General features: G+C 42.4%; 1 long non-coding RNA gene across 1 annotated transcript, besides 2 other annotated features; it reads left to right on the top strand.

The window, feature by feature from the left end:
• The first annotated feature begins 1,296 nt into the window (after positions 1–1,296).
• On the top strand, positions 1,297–15,976 carry LINC00858 (long intergenic non-protein coding RNA 858). Its single transcript, NR_038220.1, has 6 exons — positions 1,297–1,382; positions 9,541–9,737; positions 9,911–10,097; positions 10,292–10,361; positions 12,724–13,454; positions 14,563–15,976. It is a non-coding gene; the product is annotated as a long intergenic non-protein coding RNA 858 (long non-coding RNA).
• Positions 16,211–16,450: an enhancer, noted in NCBI's record as "active region_3678". NCBI's record gives its function as "activates an Ori minimal core promoter by ATAC-STARR-seq in GM12878 lymphoblastoid cells {active_cell/tissue: GM12878}" and the evidence as "EXISTENCE:reporter gene assay evidence [ECO:0000049][PMID:35858748]".
• Positions 19,192–19,692: an enhancer, noted in NCBI's record as "H3K4me1 hESC enhancer chr10:86057631-86058131 (GRCh37/hg19 assembly coordinates)". NCBI's record gives its function as "activates a minimal SCP1, AML or CMV promoter by ChIP-STARR-seq in primed H9 embryonic stem cells {active_cell/tissue: H9 hESC(primed)}" and the evidence as "EXISTENCE:reporter gene assay evidence [ECO:0000049][PMID:30033119]".

The following is a 21,294-nucleotide window of genomic DNA, read 5'->3' on the forward strand; positions in this document are numbered from 1 at the left end:
TTGATACACAATCTACAAAAACTTATAGCTAACATACTTAATGGTGAAAAACTGAATTCTTTCCTCCTGAGATCAGGAGCAAAGCAAGCTGTCTGCTCTCACCAATCTTATTCAACATAGTGCTAGAATTTCTAGCTAGTGCAATTAAGGCAAGAAAAGGAAATAAAATGCATACAGGTTAGAAAGGAAGAAATCGAACTGCATCACTTTGCAGATGACATGGTTGTCTGCATAGAAAATCCCAAAGCATCTTACAAATAAGCTCCCAGAATTAAGTCACCATCAATGCAGGCTGCAGGATAAACATATAAAAAGCAAATTGTTTCTGTATACTAGCAACACATGGAAACTGAAATTAGAATACAATACCGCTTATAATTGCTCAAATAAAATTAACTACTCAGATGCAAATATAAAATAGCATATACAGGATTTGTATACTGAAAACTATGCAATGCTGATGAAAGAAATCAAAGAAGATCCGAATACACAGAAAGACACATCATGTTCATGAACTAGACTATTCAACACTGTTAAATATTAATTCTCCCCAAATTGATATACAGGTAGAAAGGAATGACTATTAAAATCCTAGCAAAATGTTTGTAGCTATAGATTATTTTCAAATTCATAAGAAAGGCAAAAAAGCAAGATTACTTTAAAGTTTTTGGAAAGGAAAAATAAAGAAGGAGAAATCTGTGTATTCGATTTTAAGACACAGAGCTACGTAACCAAGACTGTGTAATTTGGCAGAAGGATAGTCACACAGGTCGGTGGAACAGCACAGAGAACCCAGAAACAAACCCATACCAACATGCCCAACTGTTTTTGACAATGGGGCAGAAGCGATTCAATGGAAGGATAATCTTTCCAACAAATGGAAATCCACAGGCAAAAATAAATAAACAACAAACAAAAATAAACCTTGACCTATGTCCTACATCTTATACAAAAATTAACTCAAAATAGATCATGGATATAGATATAAAATGTAAAACTATACAACTTTCAGTAAAAAACTTGGGAGAAAATCTACAGAATAGAGGGCCAGGAAGAGTGTTCTCAGAATTGATACCAAAAGGATAAGTCCATAAAAGGAAAACCTGATAAATTGCTCTTCATCAAATTAAAAACTTTTGATCTGCAAAAGGACTCTGTTATGAGGATGAAAAGACAAGCTTCAGAATGGAAGAAAATATTTGGAAACAATATGTCTGACAAAGTGCTAGTGTCTAGAGTATATAAAGAACCTGAAGACTCAACAGTTAAAAAATAATGCAACTAGGGGGAGGAGCCAAGATGGCCGAATAGGAACAGCTCCGGTCTACAGCTCCCAGCGTGAGCGACGCAGAAGACGGGTGATTTCTGCATTTCCATCTGAGGTACCGGGTTCATCTCACTAGGGAGTGCCAGACAGTGGGCGCAGGTCAGTGGGTGCGTGCACCATGCGCGAGCCGAAGCAGGGCGAGGCATTGCCTCACTAGGGAAGCGCAAGGGGTCAGGGAGTTCCCTTTCCGAGTCAAAGAAAGGGGTGACAGACGCACCTGGAAAATCGGGTCACTCCCACCCGAATATTGCGCTTTTCGGACCAGCTTAAAAAACGGCGCACCACGAGATTATATCCCACACATGGCTCGGAGGGTCCTACGCCCACAGAGTCTCGCTGATTTCTAGCACAGCAGTCTGAGATCAAACTGCAAGGCGGCAGCGAGGCTGGGGGAGGGGCTCCCGCCATTGCCCAGGCTTTCTTAGGTAAACAAAGCAGCGGGGAAGCTCGAACTGGGTGGAGCCCACCACAGCTCAAGGAGGCCTGCCTGCCTCTGTAGGCTCCACCTCTGGGGGCAGGGCACAGACAAACAAAAAGACAGCAGTAACCTCTGCAGACTTAAATGTCCCTGTCTGACAGCTTTGAAGAGAGCAGTGGTTCTCCCAGCATGCAGCTGGAGATCTGAGAACGGGCAGACTGCCTCCTCAAGTGGGTCCCTGACCCCTGACCCCCGAGCAGCCTAACTGGGAGGCACCCCCCAGCAGGGGCACACTGACATCTCACAAGGCAGGGTATTCCAACAGACCTGCAGCTGAGGGTCCTGTCTGTTAGAAGGAAAACTAACAAACAGAAAGGACATCCACACCAAAAACCCGTCTGTACATCACCATCATCAAAGACCAAAAGTAGATAAAACCACAAAGATGGGGAAAAAACAGAACAGAAAAACTGGAAATTCTAAAACGCAGAGCGCCTCTCCTCCTCCAAAGTAACGCAGTTCCTCACCAGCAACGGAACAAAGCTGGATGGAGAATGACTTTGACGAGCTGAGAGAAGAAGGCTTCAGACAATCAAATTACTCTGAGCTACGGGAGGACATTCAAACCAAAGGCAAAGAAGTTGAAAACTTTGAAAAAAATTTAGAAGAATGTATAACTAGAATAACCAATACAGAGAAGTGCTTAAAGGAGCTGATGGAGCTGAAAACCAAGGCTCGAGAACTATGTGAAGAATGCAGAAGCCTCAGGAGCCGATGCGATCAACTGGAAGAAAGGCTATCAGCAATGGAAGATGAAATGAATGAAATGAAGAGAGAAGGGAAGTTTAGAGAAAAAAGAATAAAAAGAAATGAGCAAAGCCTCCAAGAAATATGGGACTATGTGAAAAGACCAAATCTACGTATGATTGGTGTACCTGAAAGTGATGGGGAGAATGGAACCAAGCTGGAAAACACTCTGCAGGATATTATCCAGGAGAACTTCCCCAATCTAGCAAGGCAGGCCAACATTCAGATTCAGGAAATACAGAGAACGCCACAAAGATACTCCTCGAGAAGAGCAACTCCAAGACACGTAATTGTCAGTTTCACCAAAGTTGAAATGAAGGAAAAAATGTTAAGGGCAGCCAGAGAGAAAGGTCGGGTTACCCTCAAAGGGAAGCCCATCAGACTAACAGCGGATCTCTCGGCAGAAACCCTACAAGCCAGAAGAGAGTGGGGGCCAATATTCAACATTCTTAAAGAAAAGAATTTTCAACCCAGAATTTCATATCCAGCCAAACTAAGCTTCATAAGTGAAGGAGAAATAAAATAAGTGAAGGAGAAATAAAATACTTTACAGACAAGCAAATGCTGAGAGATTTTGTGACCACCAGGCCTGCCCTAAAAGAGCTCCTGAAGGAAGCGCTAAACATGGAAAGGAACAACCAGTACCAGCCGCTGCAAAATCATGCCAAAATGTAAAGACCATCGAGACTAGGAAGAAACTGCATCAACTAACGAGCAAAATAACCAGCTAACATCATAATGACAGGATCAAATTCACACATAACAATATTAACTTTAAATGTAAATGGACTAAATGCTCCAATTAAAAGACACAGACTGGCAAATTGGATAAAGAGTCAAGACCCATCAGTGTGCTGTATTCAGGAAACCCATCTCACGTGCAGAGACACACATAGGCTCAAAATAAAAGGATGGAGGAAGATCTACCAAGCAAATGGAAAACAAAAAAAGGCAGGGGTTGCAATCCTAGTCTCTGATAAAACAGACTTTAAACCAACAAAGATCAAAATAGACAAAGAAGGCCATTACATAATGGTAAAGGGATCAATTCAACAAGAAGAGCTAACTATCCTAAATATATATGCACCCAATACAGGAGTACCCAGATTCATAAAGCAAGTCCTGAGTGACCTACAAAGAGACTTAGACTCCCACACATTAATAATGGGAGACTTTAACACCCCACTGTCAACATTAGACAGATCAACGAGACAGAAAGTCAACAAGGATACCCAGGAATTGAACTCAGCTCTGCACCAAGTGGACCTAATAGACATCTACAGAACTCTCCACCCCAAATCAACAGAATATACATTTTTTTCAGCACCACACCACACCTATTCCAAAATTGACCACATACTTGGAAGTAAAGCTCTCCTCAGCAAATGTAAAAGAACAGAGATTATAACAAACTGTCTCTTAGACCACAGTGCAATCAAACTAGAACTCAGGATTAAGAATCTCACTCAAAACCGCTCAACTTCATGGAAACTGAACAACCTGCTCCTGAATGACTACTGGGTACATAACGAAATGAAGGCAGAAATAAAGATGTTCTTTGAAACCAACGAGAACAAACACACAACATACCAGAATCTCTGGGACGCATTCAAAGCAGTGTGTAGAGGGAAATTTATAGCACTAAATGCCCACAAGAGAAAGCAGGAAAGATCCAAAATTGACACCCTAACATCACAATTAAAAGAACTAGAAAAGCAAGAGCAAACACATTCAAAAGCTAGCAGAAGGCAAGAAATAACTAAGATCAGAGCAGAACTGAAGGAAATAGAGACACAAAAAACCCTTCAAAAAATTAATGAATCCAGGAGCTGGTTTTTTGAAAGGATCAACAAAATTGATAGACTGCTAGCAAGACTAATAAAGAAGAAAAGAGAGAAGAATCAAATAGACACAATAAAAAATGATAAAGGGGATATCACCACTGATCCCACAGAAATACAAACTACCATCAGAGAATACTACAAACACCTCTACGCAAATAAACTAGAAAATCTAGAAGAAATGGATAAATTCCTCAACACATACACTCTCCCAAGACTAAACCAGGAAGAAGTTGAATCTCGGAATAGACCAGTAACAGGAGCTGAAATTGTGGCAATAATCAATAGTTTACCAACCAAAAAGAGTCCAGGACCAGATGGATTCACAGCTGAATTCTATCAGAGGTACAAGGAGGAGCTGGTACCATTCCTTCTGAAACTATTCCAATCAATAGAAAAAGAGGGAATCCTCCCTAACTCATTTTATGAGGCCAGCATCATTCTGATACCAAAGCCGAGCAGAGACACAACCAAAAAAGAGAATTTTAGATCAATATCCTTGATGAACATTGATGCAAAAATCCTCAATAAAACACTGGCAAAATGAATCCATCAAAAAGCTTATCCACCATGATCAAGTGGGCTTCATCCCTGGGATGCAAGGCTGGTTCAACATATGCAAATCAATAAATGTAATCCAGCATATAAACAGAGCCAAAGACAAAAACCACATGATTATCTCAATAGATGCAGAAAAGGCCTTTGACAAAATTCAACAACCCTTCATGCTAAAAACTCTCAATAAATTAGGTATTGATGGGACGTATTTCAAAATAATAAGAGCTATCTATGACAAACCCACAGCCAATATCATACTGAATGGGCAAAAACTGGAAGCATTCCCTTTGAAAACTGGCACAAGACAGGGATGCCCTCTCTCACCACTCCTATTCAACATAGTGTTGGAAGTTCTGGCCAGGGCAATTAGGCAGGAGAAGGAAATAAAGGGTATTCAATTAGGAAAAGAGGAAGTCAAATTGTCCCTGTTTGCAGACGACATGATTGTATATCTAGAAAACCCCACTGTCTCAGCCCAAAATCTCCTTAAGCTGATAAGCAACTTCAGCAAAGTCTCAGGATACAAAATCAATGTACAAAAATCACAAGCATTCTTATACACCAATAACAGACAAACAGAGAGCCAAATCATGAGTGAACTCCCATTCACAATTGCTTCAAAGAGAATAAAATACCTAGGAATCCAACTTACAAGGGATGTGAAGGACCTCTTCAAGGAGAACTACAAACCACTGCTCAAGGAAATAAAAGAGGATACAAACAAATGGAAGAACATTCCATGCTCACGGGTAGGAAGAATCAATATCGTGAAAATGGCCATACTGCCCAAGGTAATTTACAGATTCAATGCCATCCCCATAAAGCTACCAATGACTTTCTTCACAGAATTGGAAAAAACTACTTTAAAGTTCATATGGAACCAAAAAAGAGCCCGCATCTCCAAGGCAATCCTAAGCCAAAAGAACAAAGCTGGAGGCATCACACTACCTGACTTCAAACTATACTACAAGGCTACTGTAACCAAAACAGCATGGTACTGGTACCAAAACAGAGATATAGATCAATGGAACAGAACAGAGCCCTCAGAAATAACGATGCATATCTACAAGTATCTGATCTTTGATAAACCTGAGAAAAACAAGCAATGGGGAAAGGATTCCCTATTTAATAAATGGTGCTGGGAAAACTGGCTAGCCATATGTAGAAAGCTGAAACTGGATCCCTTCCTTACACCTTATACAAAAATCAATTCAAGATGGATTAAAGACTTAAACGTTAGACCTAAAACCATAAAAACCCTAGAAGAAAACCTAGGCATTACCATTCAGGACATAGGCATGGGCAAGGACTTCATGTCCAAAACACCAAAAGCAATGGCAACAAAAGACAAAATTGACAAATGGGATCTAATTAAACTAAAGAGCTTCTGCACAGCAAAAGAAACTACCATCAGAGTGAACAGGCAACCTACAAAATGGGAGAAATTTTCGCAACCTACTCATCTGACAAAGGGCTAATATCCAGAATCTACAATGAACTCAAACAAATTTATAAGAAAAAAACAAACAACCCCATCAAAAAGTGGGCAAAGGATATGAACAGACACTTCTCAAAAGAAGACATTTATGCAGCCAAAAAACACATGAAAAAATGCTCATCATCACTGGCCATCAGAGAAATGCAAATCAAAACCACAATGAGATACCATCTCACACCAGTTAGAATGGCAATCATTAAAAAGTCAGGAAACAACAGGTACTGGAGAGGATGTGGAGAAATAGGAACACTTTTACACTGTTGGTGGGACTGTAAACTAGTTCAACCATTGTGGAAGTCAGTGTGGCGATTCCTCAGGGATCTAGAACTAGAAATACCATTTGACCCAGCCATCCCATTACTGGGTATATACCCAAAGGACTATAAATCATGCTGCTATAAAGATACATGCACACGTATGTTTATTGCGGCATTATTCACAATAGCAAAGACTTGGAACCAACCCAAATGTCCAACAATGATAGACTGGATCAAGAAAATGTGGCACATATACACCATGGAATACTATGCAGCCATAAAAAATGATGAGTTCATGTCCTTTGTAGGGACATGGATGAAATTGGAAATCATCATTCTCAGTAAACTATCGCAAGAACGAAAAACCAAACACCGCATATTCTCACTCATAGGTGGGAATTGAACAATGAGATCACATGGACACAGGAAGGGGAATATCACACTCTGGGGACTTTTGTGGGGTGAGGGGAGAGGGGAGGGATAGCATTGGGAGATATACCTAATGCTAGATGACGAGTTAGTGGGTGCAGTGCACCAGCATGGCACATGTATACATATGTAACTAACCTGCACAATGTGCACATGTACCCTAAAACTTAAAGTATAATAAAAAAAAATTAAAAAAAAATAATGCAACTAAAAATGGGCAAATACATGCAGAGATATTGTACTGAAGAGAATATACAGATGGCAAATAAGCACATGAAAAGATGTTCAACCTTATTAGCCACTAAGAAAATGCAAATTAAAACCAGAGTGAGATAACCTCACATAGCTATCAAAATGACTAAAATTAAAAACAGGCCCCACATGTTGGCTCATGCCTGTAATCCCAAAATTTTAGGAGGCTGAGGCAGGAGGATGGTTTGAGCACAGGAGTTTGAGACCAGCCTGGGCAACATAGTAAGACCCAGTCGTTATAAATAAATAAATAAATACAAACAGAGACAACATCTAATGCCAGTGAGAACATGAGGAAAATTCACCACTGACACGTTGCTGGTGGGTATGTAAAATGGTACAGCCACTCTGAAAGATAGCTTGATAGTTTTCTTAAAAACAAAGTGCAACTACCATACCACCTAGTACACCTCCGGGCATTTAATCCAGAGAAATGAAGCCTTCTGTTCACACAAAAAGACCTATACACAAATGCTGATAATAGCCTTTTTGCCCCACAGTGGAATAAACATAGCTGTCCTTCAAAAGGTAAATGATTAAACAAACTGTAGTATGTACATACATGGAATAGTATTCAGTAATCAAAAAGAATGAACTATTGATATACACAACAACCTGGATGAATCTCCAGAAACTTATACTGAGAAAAAAATCCCTGTAACAAAAGGTTACATACTGAATGAGTCCATTTATATATCATTTGTGAAATGATAAAATTTTAGAAATGGAAGACAGATTAGGATTTTTCTGGAGTTAGGGATGGAGTAGGGGTGGGAGGAAGGTGGGGGTGACTATAAAAGAATACATAATGAATCCTTGTGCTGTTACAGTTGTTTAGTATCTTTGTTATGATAAAGAATACATGAACCTACACAGATGATAAAATTGTATAGAATTTACACACACAAATGAGGACAAGTAAAATGGAAATCTGCATAAGATCAGTGAATTATATCCATGTTAGTATTCTTGTTGTCATATTATGCTATAACTCTGCAAAATATTACCATTAGAGGAAACTGGGAAAACTATGCAAAGGATCTCTGTATTATTTTTCTTTCTTTCTTTTTTTTTTTTTTTGAGACACAGATTTGCTCTGTCGCCCAGGCTGGAGTGCAATGGTGCGATCTTGGCCCACTGCAACCTCCGCCTCCTGGATTCAGGCCATTCTCCTGCCTCAGCCTCCCAAGTAGCTGGGACTACAGGCATGCACCACCACATTCAGCTAATTTTTGCATTTTTAGTACAGACAGGGTTTGTTTCACCATGTTGGCCAGGCTGGTCTCGAACTCCTGACTTCAAGTGATTCGCCCACCTCAGCCTCCCAAAGTGCTGGGATTACAGACATGAGCCATTGCGCCCTGCCTGGATCTCTGTATTATTTCTTACAGCTGCATGTGAATCTATAATTGTTTTTCCACACATAAATTAATACAATTATATATTTTGTTTCATATAAAAATATAAGTTGACTGGAAAGTGTAGTAGGAGAAGCTCGGGACAGTAGCCATGACCATTTGAGATAAGTGATTATAGTCCTGTTGTTTAAGTTCCTCTAGCACTTCTTGGCTGCTCAGGTAAGGCCTTGAGAGGAAATTATGTGGGGTCATCCAGAGGTGGGGTTTCGTTGATGACCATGAGAAAAGAAAAAAAGAAAAATAAGGTTTAGGGCCATTAAAGTGACAGTGTTGAGAATCTAGTCTGACTGAGGAGGATAATGAAGAGAAAGAGGTGATGCTTTGGATGAAAGCAAGAGTCAACAGACTAGAAATCCTAATGAAGTAAAAACACAGAGTGGGGTAAGTGAGCATGCAAGCTGGTTGGAAAGGAGCAGTCAGGGAGAATGAAATTTTAATTAGACTATGAAGATGGACCATCTTGGAGGGGACATAAGGTCAAGGATGACTATGCAAGTCATGGGTGAGGTGGAGTGGACAAGGAGTTCACTGGTAATAAGGAGGTCAAGGAAACAAGAGTCGCAGATATTGGATGCTGAAGTCATCAGATTTATGGACAGCTGATAGAGCGAAGAGCAGGACCTTGCACCAGGAACCTAATGCTTTAGCCTGTGAAGTGATGTGGTGGCTTAGTAACATGTCAGCTTGGCTAGGTGGAAGCAGATTTCCTAGAATCCCTTTCCTGTTTGTTTTCAGTTAGGCTTGGCCACAAGAGACAAATTGCAAGGCATGGAGACATTTTTCTAACACTTGAAAATTCTATGCAAGAGCACCAGGCAGCTCAGTCACCTTGTCACTTATCTACTGGGTCACCTTGTTGGCATGGGATGCCAGCCAGGCTTGCAGCTGCTCCATCCTCCCCTGAATTTGTACTTCAGCTTCTCCACTCATGGGTAAGTTATGTGTTTATCTGCTTTTCTTACAAGACACCGTATATTTAAAATTGGAGGCAGTGCAATACTAACATGGGTTCCAGTCCTTCTGTGTTCATTTCAGCTCATGCTTGTCATCTCCAGCTTGTCCTTGCTCTCTACCACTTTGCAATCATCTTCCCTTCCCTTCCCAGCCTGCCCTGAGGACTTCATGGTTCAGCATCAGATATGAAGACGACAGCCCTATAGAGACTATTTAACCAGCTTCTAAGGTGGTTAAATATCTTACCAGCCTATGTAAGGCCGAATCCTACTAACAAAGCACTGGTATATGTAATATCCCAGTGGTTTGCTTCTCTAATTGAACCCTGACTACTACAGGTAAGAATTTTGACAAGAATATATTAATTCTTCTAGGATGAAGAAAGGGAAACTCACTTCAGGTCAATAGAGATTGTCATTTGGGACCCCTTCAAGACAACCAATTATATGACTGTCTCTAAAATATTGCTATCCAGCCCCCATTCCTCACTTTTGTCCTACTGGTAATAAGACATTCATCGTGTATCTTTCAGAAGTCCAGATACCACAGTCTGAGTAGTTCTTTAATCTGCTTATCTGGTGATTCCATCACAAATGGTTCAGGTAAGTCTGGCATGCCTTGGGCTTGGTGTGATTTTCTACACAAAACACAGATTATAGGTGGACCTGACAATTAATCTAATTAATAAGAAATGCTACATTCAAAGCATTTTATCCCAGACTCAGCTATCTCAGTTATAAGAAACATATGTTTTCTATTTGAGAACCCTTGGATTTATGCACATTCAATTTGGAGGTTAGAAGGAATAAGGATGAGAGTTCGTAGTGTCTGCTTTATCCAAGCCTTTTTACAAGGTGAAGATGTGTTAACTAGTTACTATTTTGAGCTCTTCATACTAAAGTTTTGAGTGAAAAACACAATCTGCTAAGTCAAGGCAACAATATTTTTCTTTTTTTGAACTTACTGCACCATTTAAATTATGAAGAAATCAAATGTTAATAATCATAAACACTTTGTGTTGTAAAACGGCTTTCCCCTCTCTTTCCTTCACTGTACACTGTACTAAAATGTTTCAGATACTTCCAGAGACAACTGCCTTTAGAGGAGTCATACACATTCTCCTTCAGCCTGGACACTAACTCAGTAAGCAGCAGCTTCAGAATAATGCACCTGTGATCAGGCCAATTGGGATAGAGGCATCATCTGCCCTTATCTTCTCAGAGCCAAAGAAACTAACTTAATTTTCCGTATCAGCTTCATTTTCCCCTTTACTCAATGCCCAGAGATTAATTCTTGGTTTCAGCCCCACCCCATGAAAAGGATGTCTATTCAATCAGAGAGACACAAAGATGGCTTGTGCAAACCAAGCAAAAAAGACACAAGAGGAATTTATTCTGGTTAATAAGCTGAGAGCAAACATGTAGAGGCTAATTGTATGGTGAGTACAAGAAGAGTTTCTTATCTGGGGAGTGTATAATGTTGGGGTAGACACTGTCATTTGTTTTCTTATCCAATAGCCATCATTCTTCATTGCTTAGAAAAAAAAACTTTGTGCTACAGCTGTCAGGCAAGTGGCATGGGATTTAGGAGAAAATTATTTGCTGTCAGCCCTGAAGGATGAAGGAATCACAATTTCTCTGTACAATCATGGTAGTCAGCTTTCAAGATTCCTCCAATGATTCTCATCTCCTGCTATTCATGCCCTTGTGTAGTTATCTCTTGCACAGAATAGGGCTGATGTGTGACCAGTAGGATATTATGGAAATGGCAGAATTTGATGTTCATAAAAGATGTTGCAGCTTTTACCTCGCTCTCTCAGATTATTCACCCTGGAGAAGGCTGTTGTTTATCTTTTCACATTGTGAAAACATTCAAGTGGCCCTCTGTGAAGTCCATGTGATTGGGACTTGAGGCTTCCTGACAATAGCCACCACGAATTTGCCGACCATGTGAGTGGCACAACTTTGTTCAGGTGACTGGAGGCCCAGCTGGCATTTTGCCTGCTATTTCATAAGAGACTCCAAGCCAGAACCATCCAACAGAGCCAACTAAGTCTCTTCCAAATTCCTGGCCCAAAGAAACTCTGAGAGATAATACATATTTATTGTTATTTAAGCCACTGAATTTCAGAGTAATTTGTTATGCAGAAATAAATAACACCAATTGTGTTGAATCCCATTTCTCTCTCATGGTATATATGTAGTCAGAAAACCATAGACTAAAATCCACAGGCATATATGATAGTCCTTGACATTACCCATGTCTTAGTTTAATAATCCTGGCTAGTTAAGTACTGCTAATCCATATCTCCAGAAAAATTTAGAAAGCCCTGATTTGCAGTGTTTACCTAGTTGTGTGGTGCAAATATTCCCACTGGTTGACATCATGCTACCAACACAGAGTTGGGAAGAAATGCACACAATTGGTTCTTGCAAGCTCATATGAGCCCCAACGCACCACTGAATTGAGCTCAGAAGAAATAGATTGGGTCAAGTAATCATACTGACCTCTGCCTGTTTGGCCAGAAGGATCTTCAGAGGTAGTGTAATGTTTTGACAATAGCTTTAGGACCAAATGACCAGGAACATAATTTTGCCTATGCTGTTTTCTGGCTGAGTGACCTCAATAGGTACTGCTTATTGGCAATAAGTGTCAGATTCTTCATCTGTAAAATGAGGATGGCAATTTCTGCTCATCAGAGATTTGAGAGAATTAAGTGAAAATAACAATAGCAAAAACAACAGTTATAAGTACTTACTATATATCAGGCCAGAGTTGCTTATAAGATATCATTACTTAATTTAATAATACAGGCAAAGCAGTAGGGACTAAATGAATGCTAACTATCAGCATTGTTATTACATTTCTGAGCAGGGAGCTGTTCATTAGAATGAACACTGAATCAGAAATTGTTGGAACTGACCTGTCTCCTATTTTCCAACCTCAATTCTTCGTCTTCCTAAGTTGGGCAAAAGGCTCCAGTGAAGAGCTGTGAGGCTTATGTATGGGGACTCACCAGGGGCCAGCCCAGGCTGCCCACAAGACCATGAGCCACCCTGTGACTGAATGAAGTGGAGAGAAGGGAAAGTAGTTAAGAAATCAAGAAAAGTGTCTTTCAGCACCATGGCCAGAAGTTGTGCCACAGAATTGGAACAGGGAAACCCAGAGAGCCAGTGCTGTCCTAGTCCTAGTGCTGAATGATCCCATTGGTGTCCTTAGAAGGGCTCTGACTTCAGCCCACCAGCAGCATGTGGACTTATAAGCTTTCTAGCAGAGTTGGAGATCCCCAGGAAAAAGAAATCTCTTAAAATGAAATGAAACTTCAATCAACCAAGGCTTTCTAGCCTGATGTGAGTTGTCTTTACACACATATACCTTTTTAACAAAGAAGAAGAAAAGAATGGACATTGATAGAACTTGCATTCTGTGTTCATCACCAGGATAGTTGCTTTATAAATATCATTTTGTTTTTAGTCACAACCCAATGCAGCATTTTCCTTACTGACAAAGAACCTGAGGCATGGAGAATTTAAGCAACTCCCTGAAGGCCACCCAGCTAATCAGCAGTGGGAAAAGAATTTAATTCTAGATCTTTCATTCTAAAGCCCAGCTCCTTACACACGTTGGATGCTACTATTTCCAAAATGTCAACAACACTTTGGACTATCAACCTGTCTAAAGAGTATTTGAAGCAGGTAATACAAATTGTTTTCTAATTTATTATGGTCAGTTCTCTTCTTTGAATCCAGGTGATGCTGATGTCTTCATACCTCCTCTTCACCCTTCAGAAGAGGTCCTCTTGCTTCTAGAAAGAGAATACAAATAGCTACATTCCTACTCAGTGGGAGAAAGTGAGACTGTTCCAGAAGATGAGGACTTAGGCTGGTAATGTCCTGAGGAAATGACTATGCCAACCTAGAGATCCCCTTGTGTGTGGTAAGGTCCCCAATGAACAGAATGGGGCCCTCACCTAACCACATCTCAGGCCTGGCTTCAAGATGGGTTTCAAACCAGAAAGTAATCATATCGGATGATTACTACATACTACATACATTGCCATCCTCATTTTATAGATGAAGAATCTGACTCTTATTGCCAATAAGCAGTGCATGTTGAGGTCACTCAGCCAGGAAATAGCAGAGGCAAATTTAGGCTCCTGGTCATTTGGTCCTAAAGCTACTGTCAGTAATCTCAGTATGCCTGAGATGTGGTCAGGTCAGCATACTTTAGAATGAACTTTTATGCTAAGATAATAACATGGTGGTTAAGTATTGACTCAGATTGCCTACATTTGCATTAAGTTTTCACTGTGCTAAACTTAAGTTTTCAGCTGTGTTATTTGGGGGCACTAACTCCATAAGCCTCAGGTTTTTTTTTTCTGTTTTTGTTTTTGTTTTGAGATGGCGTCTCGCTCTGTTGCCCAGGCTGGAGTGCAGTGGTGCAATCTCAGCTCACTGCAACTTCTGCCTCCCAGGTTCAAGCAATTCCCTGCCTCAGCCTCCCGAGTAGCTGGGATTACAGGCGCCTGCCACCATGCCTGGCTAATTTTTGTATTTTTAGTAGAGAGGGGGTTTCACTATGTTGGCCAGGCTGGTCTTGAACTCCTGACCTCATGATACACCTGCCTCGGCCTCCTAAAGTGCTGGGATTACAGGGGTGAGCCACTGTGCCCGGTGGGTTTTGTAGCTTTAAAATGGGAACTATAAGGTTGTTTACATGCAATTATGTATGTCATGTGCTTTCCCTAAGGAAATTATTCAACAAACTTTAGGTAGTTTTATTATTATTATTATTTCTGTGCAGTGATGCAGGCCTCTGAAGGAAAAGGTGCACATTTTCAACAATAAAAGAGAGACATTCCTTTAGTGTATCTCCACATTCCCTGAAGGGGAGCTGGAATGACATGACGGACTTGGCCTCAGGGCCCCAAGCCTTCCCTGTTGCAGTCTTCATGACACTCCTCAGAAGCAGCAACTCCAGCCATGTCTGGAACCATTCCTTACCAGACAGGAGGATATCATGGCCTCAACTCATGATCTGTACCAAGCCAAACCTCTTTTGGGGTACCCACCAAGCCTCAGGCCTCACCTTCTCTGCCCTGTTGTCCCTGCCCATCTGTCCTGGTTTTCTACTAGTTTCCACTACTGGACACTTGTCTGAGGCTGGGTCCCCACCTGGATCTTGTGGCCTCTTGCCCAGGGCTTGGAGGGAAGCTGCTCCCACACTTGAAGATGACAGCTGAGCATGGTCCTTTGTGGGCGTGCTGTCAGGAAGATGACAGTGCAATCTGTTTAATGTGCCAGTTGTCTCTGTGAGTCCCTCATCCGGATGAGCACTTGTCACACCCCTGCAGAGCCCCAGCTGGTTCTTAGAGAGGTGCTCCAGCTCTGTGATTACCTAATCTGGCTTCCCAATCTATCCCACAATGTGTCATTGCTGAGGTCCCTGTGGGTCTTGCAGATAAACTTGCTACAGTCATCCTACACAAAAAAGAAGCTCGTTATCATGAAACCGGCCTGCTTTTTAGCTCCTGGGCCCTAACTCACCCCAGATTGCTGCCAGCTCTTTTGTTTTCCCACTTAGACCAAAGGGATTGAGAAGCTTTCCCATTCCTTGGAGCTGCCACCCTCCATTCTAAGGCAGTCTCCCCCTTCACCCTGCTTGCTGCACCCCAGATGCTGCAAGGCCCATGTGCTGTTTTTGACTTCAGTACTTCAGATTGCTGTGGGAACACAGGAGGCAGCAGCCAGATGAGAAATTGAGTCTGACTCTGGAGTATTATAAAGTCCTTATAGTTACTGGCATTAGGTATAGGGTCTGTATTATTAAAGAGAAATTATTCACCAAACACTTGTTAAAAATGGCAAGACAGTTTATTTAAGAGCATTGCAATAGGTAAGTGCTATGGTCTCAATGTTTGTGTCTCCCTCAAATTCATAAGTTGAAACTTCACTTCCAAGATGAAGGAATTAGGAGGTGGGCACTTTAAGGGATGATTATGTCATAGGCCAGAGCCCTCATGAACGAGATCAGTGCCCTTCTAAAAGAGGCATTGGGAGAGACCCCTCACCTTTTCCATCATATGAGGACACAGCCAGGAAGCATCATCCACGAACCAGAAAATTGGCCCTTACCAGACACTGAATCTGCTGATGTCCTGACCATGGACTTCTGAGCCTTCTGAACTGTGAGAGATAAATTTCTGTTGTTTATAAGCCTTCTGGTTGATGATATTTTGTTATAGCAGCCCAAACAGAAGGGGACAGGGAGAGAGATGGAACTCAACTTCAAATACAAACAGGGACAAGTGGGGCTTTAGAGCCAGTGGGCCCAGTGAGGCAGAGGACAGAGAATTACTATGGGGAACTTGGGATAGGGGAGAGAGACCTGATTAGATATCAAGGGCAGGGGGGATTCCCAATAAACTGCCTCAGCAGAATTTTTGCTAAAACTGGGCTCAGCAGGCCATGGAGGAGGCCTAGTTGAGAAGAGGGCTCAGAGTGTGGTCAATGAGAGAGGCTTTGTCAGTTTCAGTCAGGGTTCTTCAGAGAAACAGAAACAATAAGAAAGAGAAAGATTGAGATTTATTTTAAGGGATTGAGTCATGCAATTGTGGATGCTGGCAAGTCTGAAATCTAGGGCAGGCCCTTTGGATAGAAATTCAGACAAGAGTTGAAATTGTAATCTTGGGCCCAAAGTCTGCAGGGCAGACCAGTGGGCTGGAAATCTAGACAGGATTTCTATGTCAGTTTTGAGGCAGAATGCCTTCTTCCCCTGACACCTCAGCTTTTGCTCCTAAGGCCTTCATCTGATTGGATGAGGCCCACCCACATCATGGAGGGTAATCTGCTTTACTTAAAGTCTGCCAATTGTAAATGTTAATCACATCTACAAAATGCCTTCCTAACAACATCCAGACTAGTTGACCAAACAACTGGCCCCAATCGCCTAGCCAAGTTGACAAGAAAAATTAGCCTTCACAGGGTCTGAAGAGAGTATGTGGACACCTAGACAGGTATGTTCAGTCCATCTTTGCTTCCAAGGGATGCTCACAAGTCTCCCCAGTTGATCCTATTTTTTAGGGAAGACAATGCAGAGGATCCTCCCCCACCCCCATCACCCCTTTCCATAACCTAGAGATAAAAATGAAGTAAGAAAGATTTGTTCCTGGGCCGGGTGTGGTGGCTCATACCTGTAATCCTAGAACTTTGGGAGGCCAAGGTGGGTGGATCACCAGCTCAGAAGTTCGAGACCAGCCTGGCCAACATGGCAAACCCCCATCTCTACTAATAATACAAAAATTAGCCAGGTGTGGTGGCGGGCAACTCTAATCCCAGCTACTCAGGAGGCTGAGGCAGGAGAATCGCTTGAACCTGGGAGGCGGGGGTTGCAGTGAGCCAAGATTGTGTCTCTGCACTCCAGCCTGGGCAACAAGAGCAACAAAAAACAAAAAACAAAAAAATTAAAACAAACAAACAAAAAAAGAGATTTGTTCCTGTACCTCAAGTGGACAACTGATGTCCAGAGACCCACTGGACTGAGAACATCCACCTTCCTCAGTTTCTGACTGCCGAGCAATGATGACTGGGGACATTTCATGCAGGTACATCACCGAGGAGTGAAGAAAGTAGTCACCTGAACCAAATAGTAAGGTCTCTGTCCCAGAGAGCCTGGGGGTTTGGCAAAAATGCTGTGAACACCCATATGGGCATTGCATTGTTAATCTGTACATGTGAACAAGAAAGGATTAGCCCCCAGACCTCATACTCAAGGATGATTGTAGTGGAAAGTCCCACTTCCCATTGTGCTTCTGCTTCCTGATGCTCAAGAATAAGCTTTAGGCTTGACCAAGTGGGGGTGGGAGGAAACACAAACAGAAACTGCCACTACCCTCCCCACAAGTAGAAAAATTTAAGCGTGTCTTGTTCTCTAATGAAGTTTTGTAACAGTAGCCTACATGGTGAAAACAAAGTCGAAGCCGCCTCCAGCGTGCTTAAAACCAGGTTTAAGCTGCTGGCTGCTACTGTTGCTTCACCAAGCACCTTAGTTCCAGGGAATGGGCTTCATCTCTGTTTCACAGAGAAGTCCCCTTTGCCAAAGAATGTGGGTGGCCTACAGAGAAGCAGGGCAGTGAATATACTTTCCCTGCCTTCTGTGATGCATTTTCTTCGTGCAGCTCTAAAGCAAGATTGTTTGTTGTTATAATGACGGCCTTTCCGTCTTTACTTACAACATCCTGTTCTCCCAGGACATTAAAGGCTGGGCTGAGAGACAAAGCTGAGGGACGCCTAGTCTGGCTGCCTCCCTGGTGCCAACCAAGTTCCTGACTGGATCAGGCTCAACCTACAGGAATTCCTCCCCCGTCATTCACTCACTAATGTGTTTTAAAAACATATTTTGAGTGCCTACTGCTGGTGCTAGGGAAACAGCTGTGACTAACCATCTCTGACATTCTGGGGTGCCCATCCTCACAAAGGAGGCCTCTGCTCCCAGCACACCAGTGGCAGATGTGTCCACATAGATCCGACTCCAGTTCAAACTCAAAATGACCTCTTTTACTCCTGCTATGTTATATATATTTAAATAGTTTTAAACATTTGTTAAATAGCATTTCATGGGGATATAGTTTCTCTTTCTCTCTTTCTTTTCTTTTCTTTTTTTTTTTTTTTCAGTCTCCCTCTGTCGCCCAGGCTGAAATGCAGTGGCTCAATCTCCTCCACCTCCTGTGTTCAAACGATTCTCCTGCCTCAGCCTGCCGAGTAGCTGGGACTACAGGCATGCACCACCATGCCTGGCTAATTTTTTTGTATTTTTAGTAGAGATGAGTTTTCACCACATTGGCCAGTCTGGTCTTGAACTCCTGACCTCAAGTGATCTGCCCGCCTTTGCCTCCCAAAGTGCTGAAATTACAGGTGTGAGCCATGGTGCCTGGCCAGATGGTGAACATAGTTTCAAAAATTAGATATAGTTTCTGCAATTAGAAAAATGCAGAAAGTGGGCCAAACGCAGTGGCTCATGCCTGTAATCCCAGCACTTTGGGAGGCCAAGGTGATCAAATCACTTTAGGCCAGGAGTTCAAGACCAGCCTCGCTAAAATGGCAAAACCCCATCTCTACTAAAAATACAAAAACTAGCTGGACTTAGTGGTGCATGCCTATAATTCCAGCTACTTGGGTGGCTGAGGCAGGAGAATTGCTTGAACCCAGGTGACAGAGATTGCAATTAGCCAAGATCGTGTCACTGCACTCCAGCCTGGGTGACAGAACAAGACTCTGTCTAAAAAGGAAAGAAAGAAAGAAAGAAAGAAAGAAAGAAAGAAAGAAAGAAAGAAAGAAAGAAAGAAAGAAAGAAAGAAAGGAAGGAAGGAAGGAAGGAAGGAAGGAAGGAAGGAAGGAAGGCAAGCAGGCAGGCAGGCAGGCAAGGGAAGGGAAGGGAAGGGAAGGGAAGGGAAGGGAGGGAAGGAAAGGAAGGGAGGGAAGGAAGGAAAGAGAGAAAGGGAAAAAAGAAAATAACCAAAACGAATAAAAAAAGAAAGAAAAATGCAGAAAAGTATGAAAAAGAAAAAGTATCACTTCTACATTCATATCCAGAGATAACAACGGCTAAAATACCGGTATATTTTCTTCCAGCCTGTTTTCCACCAATATATGTAAAATACGAAACATGTAACACATCCTTGGCTATTATCTCCCTTTCCTTCAGAAGGACTTGGGAGAACAAAGACTCTTGGCTAAAAACTAAATGAAGGTCTTTTTGGAAAGGCCATTTCACAGCCCCTCTCAGGGTAACCAAGGGAGCCTCCTTTGAAGCATAATGTGGCTTTTTTATTTTTCAGGCTGGCCCCAAAAGGCAGGAAGCAAGCCAAACAGGACACAGGCGCAGCATAACAATGTGGTGTACTGACTCCCAGGAAAAAGGGAGGCGTGCTCCTAATTATGAGGATGTTAAGGAAAGGGCTCCTTCCTCATTGTGGGTTTGGGCATGGTCCCTGACAGTTGGTACTAGTGTTTGTCCTTGGGAGATGTGGGTGGCGATGCTTGATGTAACAGGTGCATAATTTAAGGAGGCAGAAGAGCCCAAGGGTCACACTGGGAGGGAAGTTGACAAGAAAAGCTGACCCAGTGGTAGTGTCAACCTGGACCCCTGGTATCTGAGCACCGAAGTCCCTCCCATCCCAGGATGCACAGGGAACGTCTTCAATGGGGGGCTTCCTGACCATCTGCTGAAGCCTGGGGACTGCTCAGGATGAAAGAATCAGACTAAGGGAAGACACTGGAGTCATAGAAAGGGATGGGAGTGGGGCAGGAGATCCTGTTGTTCAGACGGGGGGCTTCTGTTGCCCAAAACGGAATGGAGGTTTAAAGAACGATGCATCACCACAGCAAGGCTGGACCTGGGATGTGTCCTCAGTTACACCCTCTGTGAGGGGCCCATCAACCCATTGCCGTCCCTTTGTCTTGTTTGTTTGTTTGTTTTTCTTGAGACGGAGTCTCGCTCTGTTGCCAGGCTGGAGTGCAATGGCGCAATCTCTGCTCACTGCAACCTCTGCCTCCTGGGTTCAAGCGATTCTTGTGCCTCAGCCTCCCAAGTAGCTGGGATTACAGGCGTGTGCCACCACACCCAGCTAATTTTTATATTTTTAGTAGAGACAGGGTTTCACGATGTTGGCCAGGCTGGTCTCGAACTCTTTACCTCACCATCTGCCCTCCTTGGCCTCCCAAAGTGCTGGGATTACAGGCGTGAGCCACCACACCTGCCCCCATCCCTTTGGATTTTGGGGAGAAGTGCTAATCACTACCTTCAATGAAGCAAATCTTCTTCCTCAACTGCCCAAATCAAAGCCCCCAAATTATGTCAGGACAGCCCAGATTGTAGTAGGAAGACAGAGGTCATTGGAAGGGAGCTTTTTCTCCTGGGGGGAGAAAAAAAAGAAGATAATTCTGTATCTGATACCACAGAGACTTTGTTTTTGTGTTTATTGTCTAATGGAAGAAAAGAAAGAATGTTAGGACATTAGAAAAGAAAGACACAGAGCTATACAAGAAGGACAATGTGGTCAAAACGCACTCCTTAGCTCTACAAAGAACATTGTCAGTGTGGACCTAATAAGGTAGCCTGTTTATTGATTTGACCAAAAATAGAAATAGAGCTACATTGGGAGAATGAAGAGAGGGGAGGGTGATGTAAGAGGGCTAAATCATGATCTATAGGAGGTAAAGCAGCAATGTCCGAATTTAGTAAACTACAACTATGAGTGTACGCTTGGGGAGAGATAGGGTATGGTCAGAGGTGGCACAAAGCAGTGCTTTATCATTATCTTCATCATGTATCCTCTTAGAACTCTTAGCCATGTTTGTGTATAACTTTTACTAAAAATTTATACATCTATAAAGAAAAACTGCCCCAACCATCTGTAAAATGAAAATGTGCCTTCTGGGATGGCTGCTGTAGGAAGCAGATACCCTGGGGCTTGCAAGGGGGTTGGAGGAGAGGGGCCTCATGCACTGCCCTACCATCCCTGTGCTGCCTTGGAGG

Source organism: Homo sapiens, chromosome 10 (assembly GCF_000001405.40).
Source record: "Homo sapiens chromosome 10, GRCh38.p14 Primary Assembly".
Taxonomy (NCBI): Eukaryota; Metazoa; Chordata; class Mammalia; order Primates; family Hominidae; genus Homo; species Homo sapiens.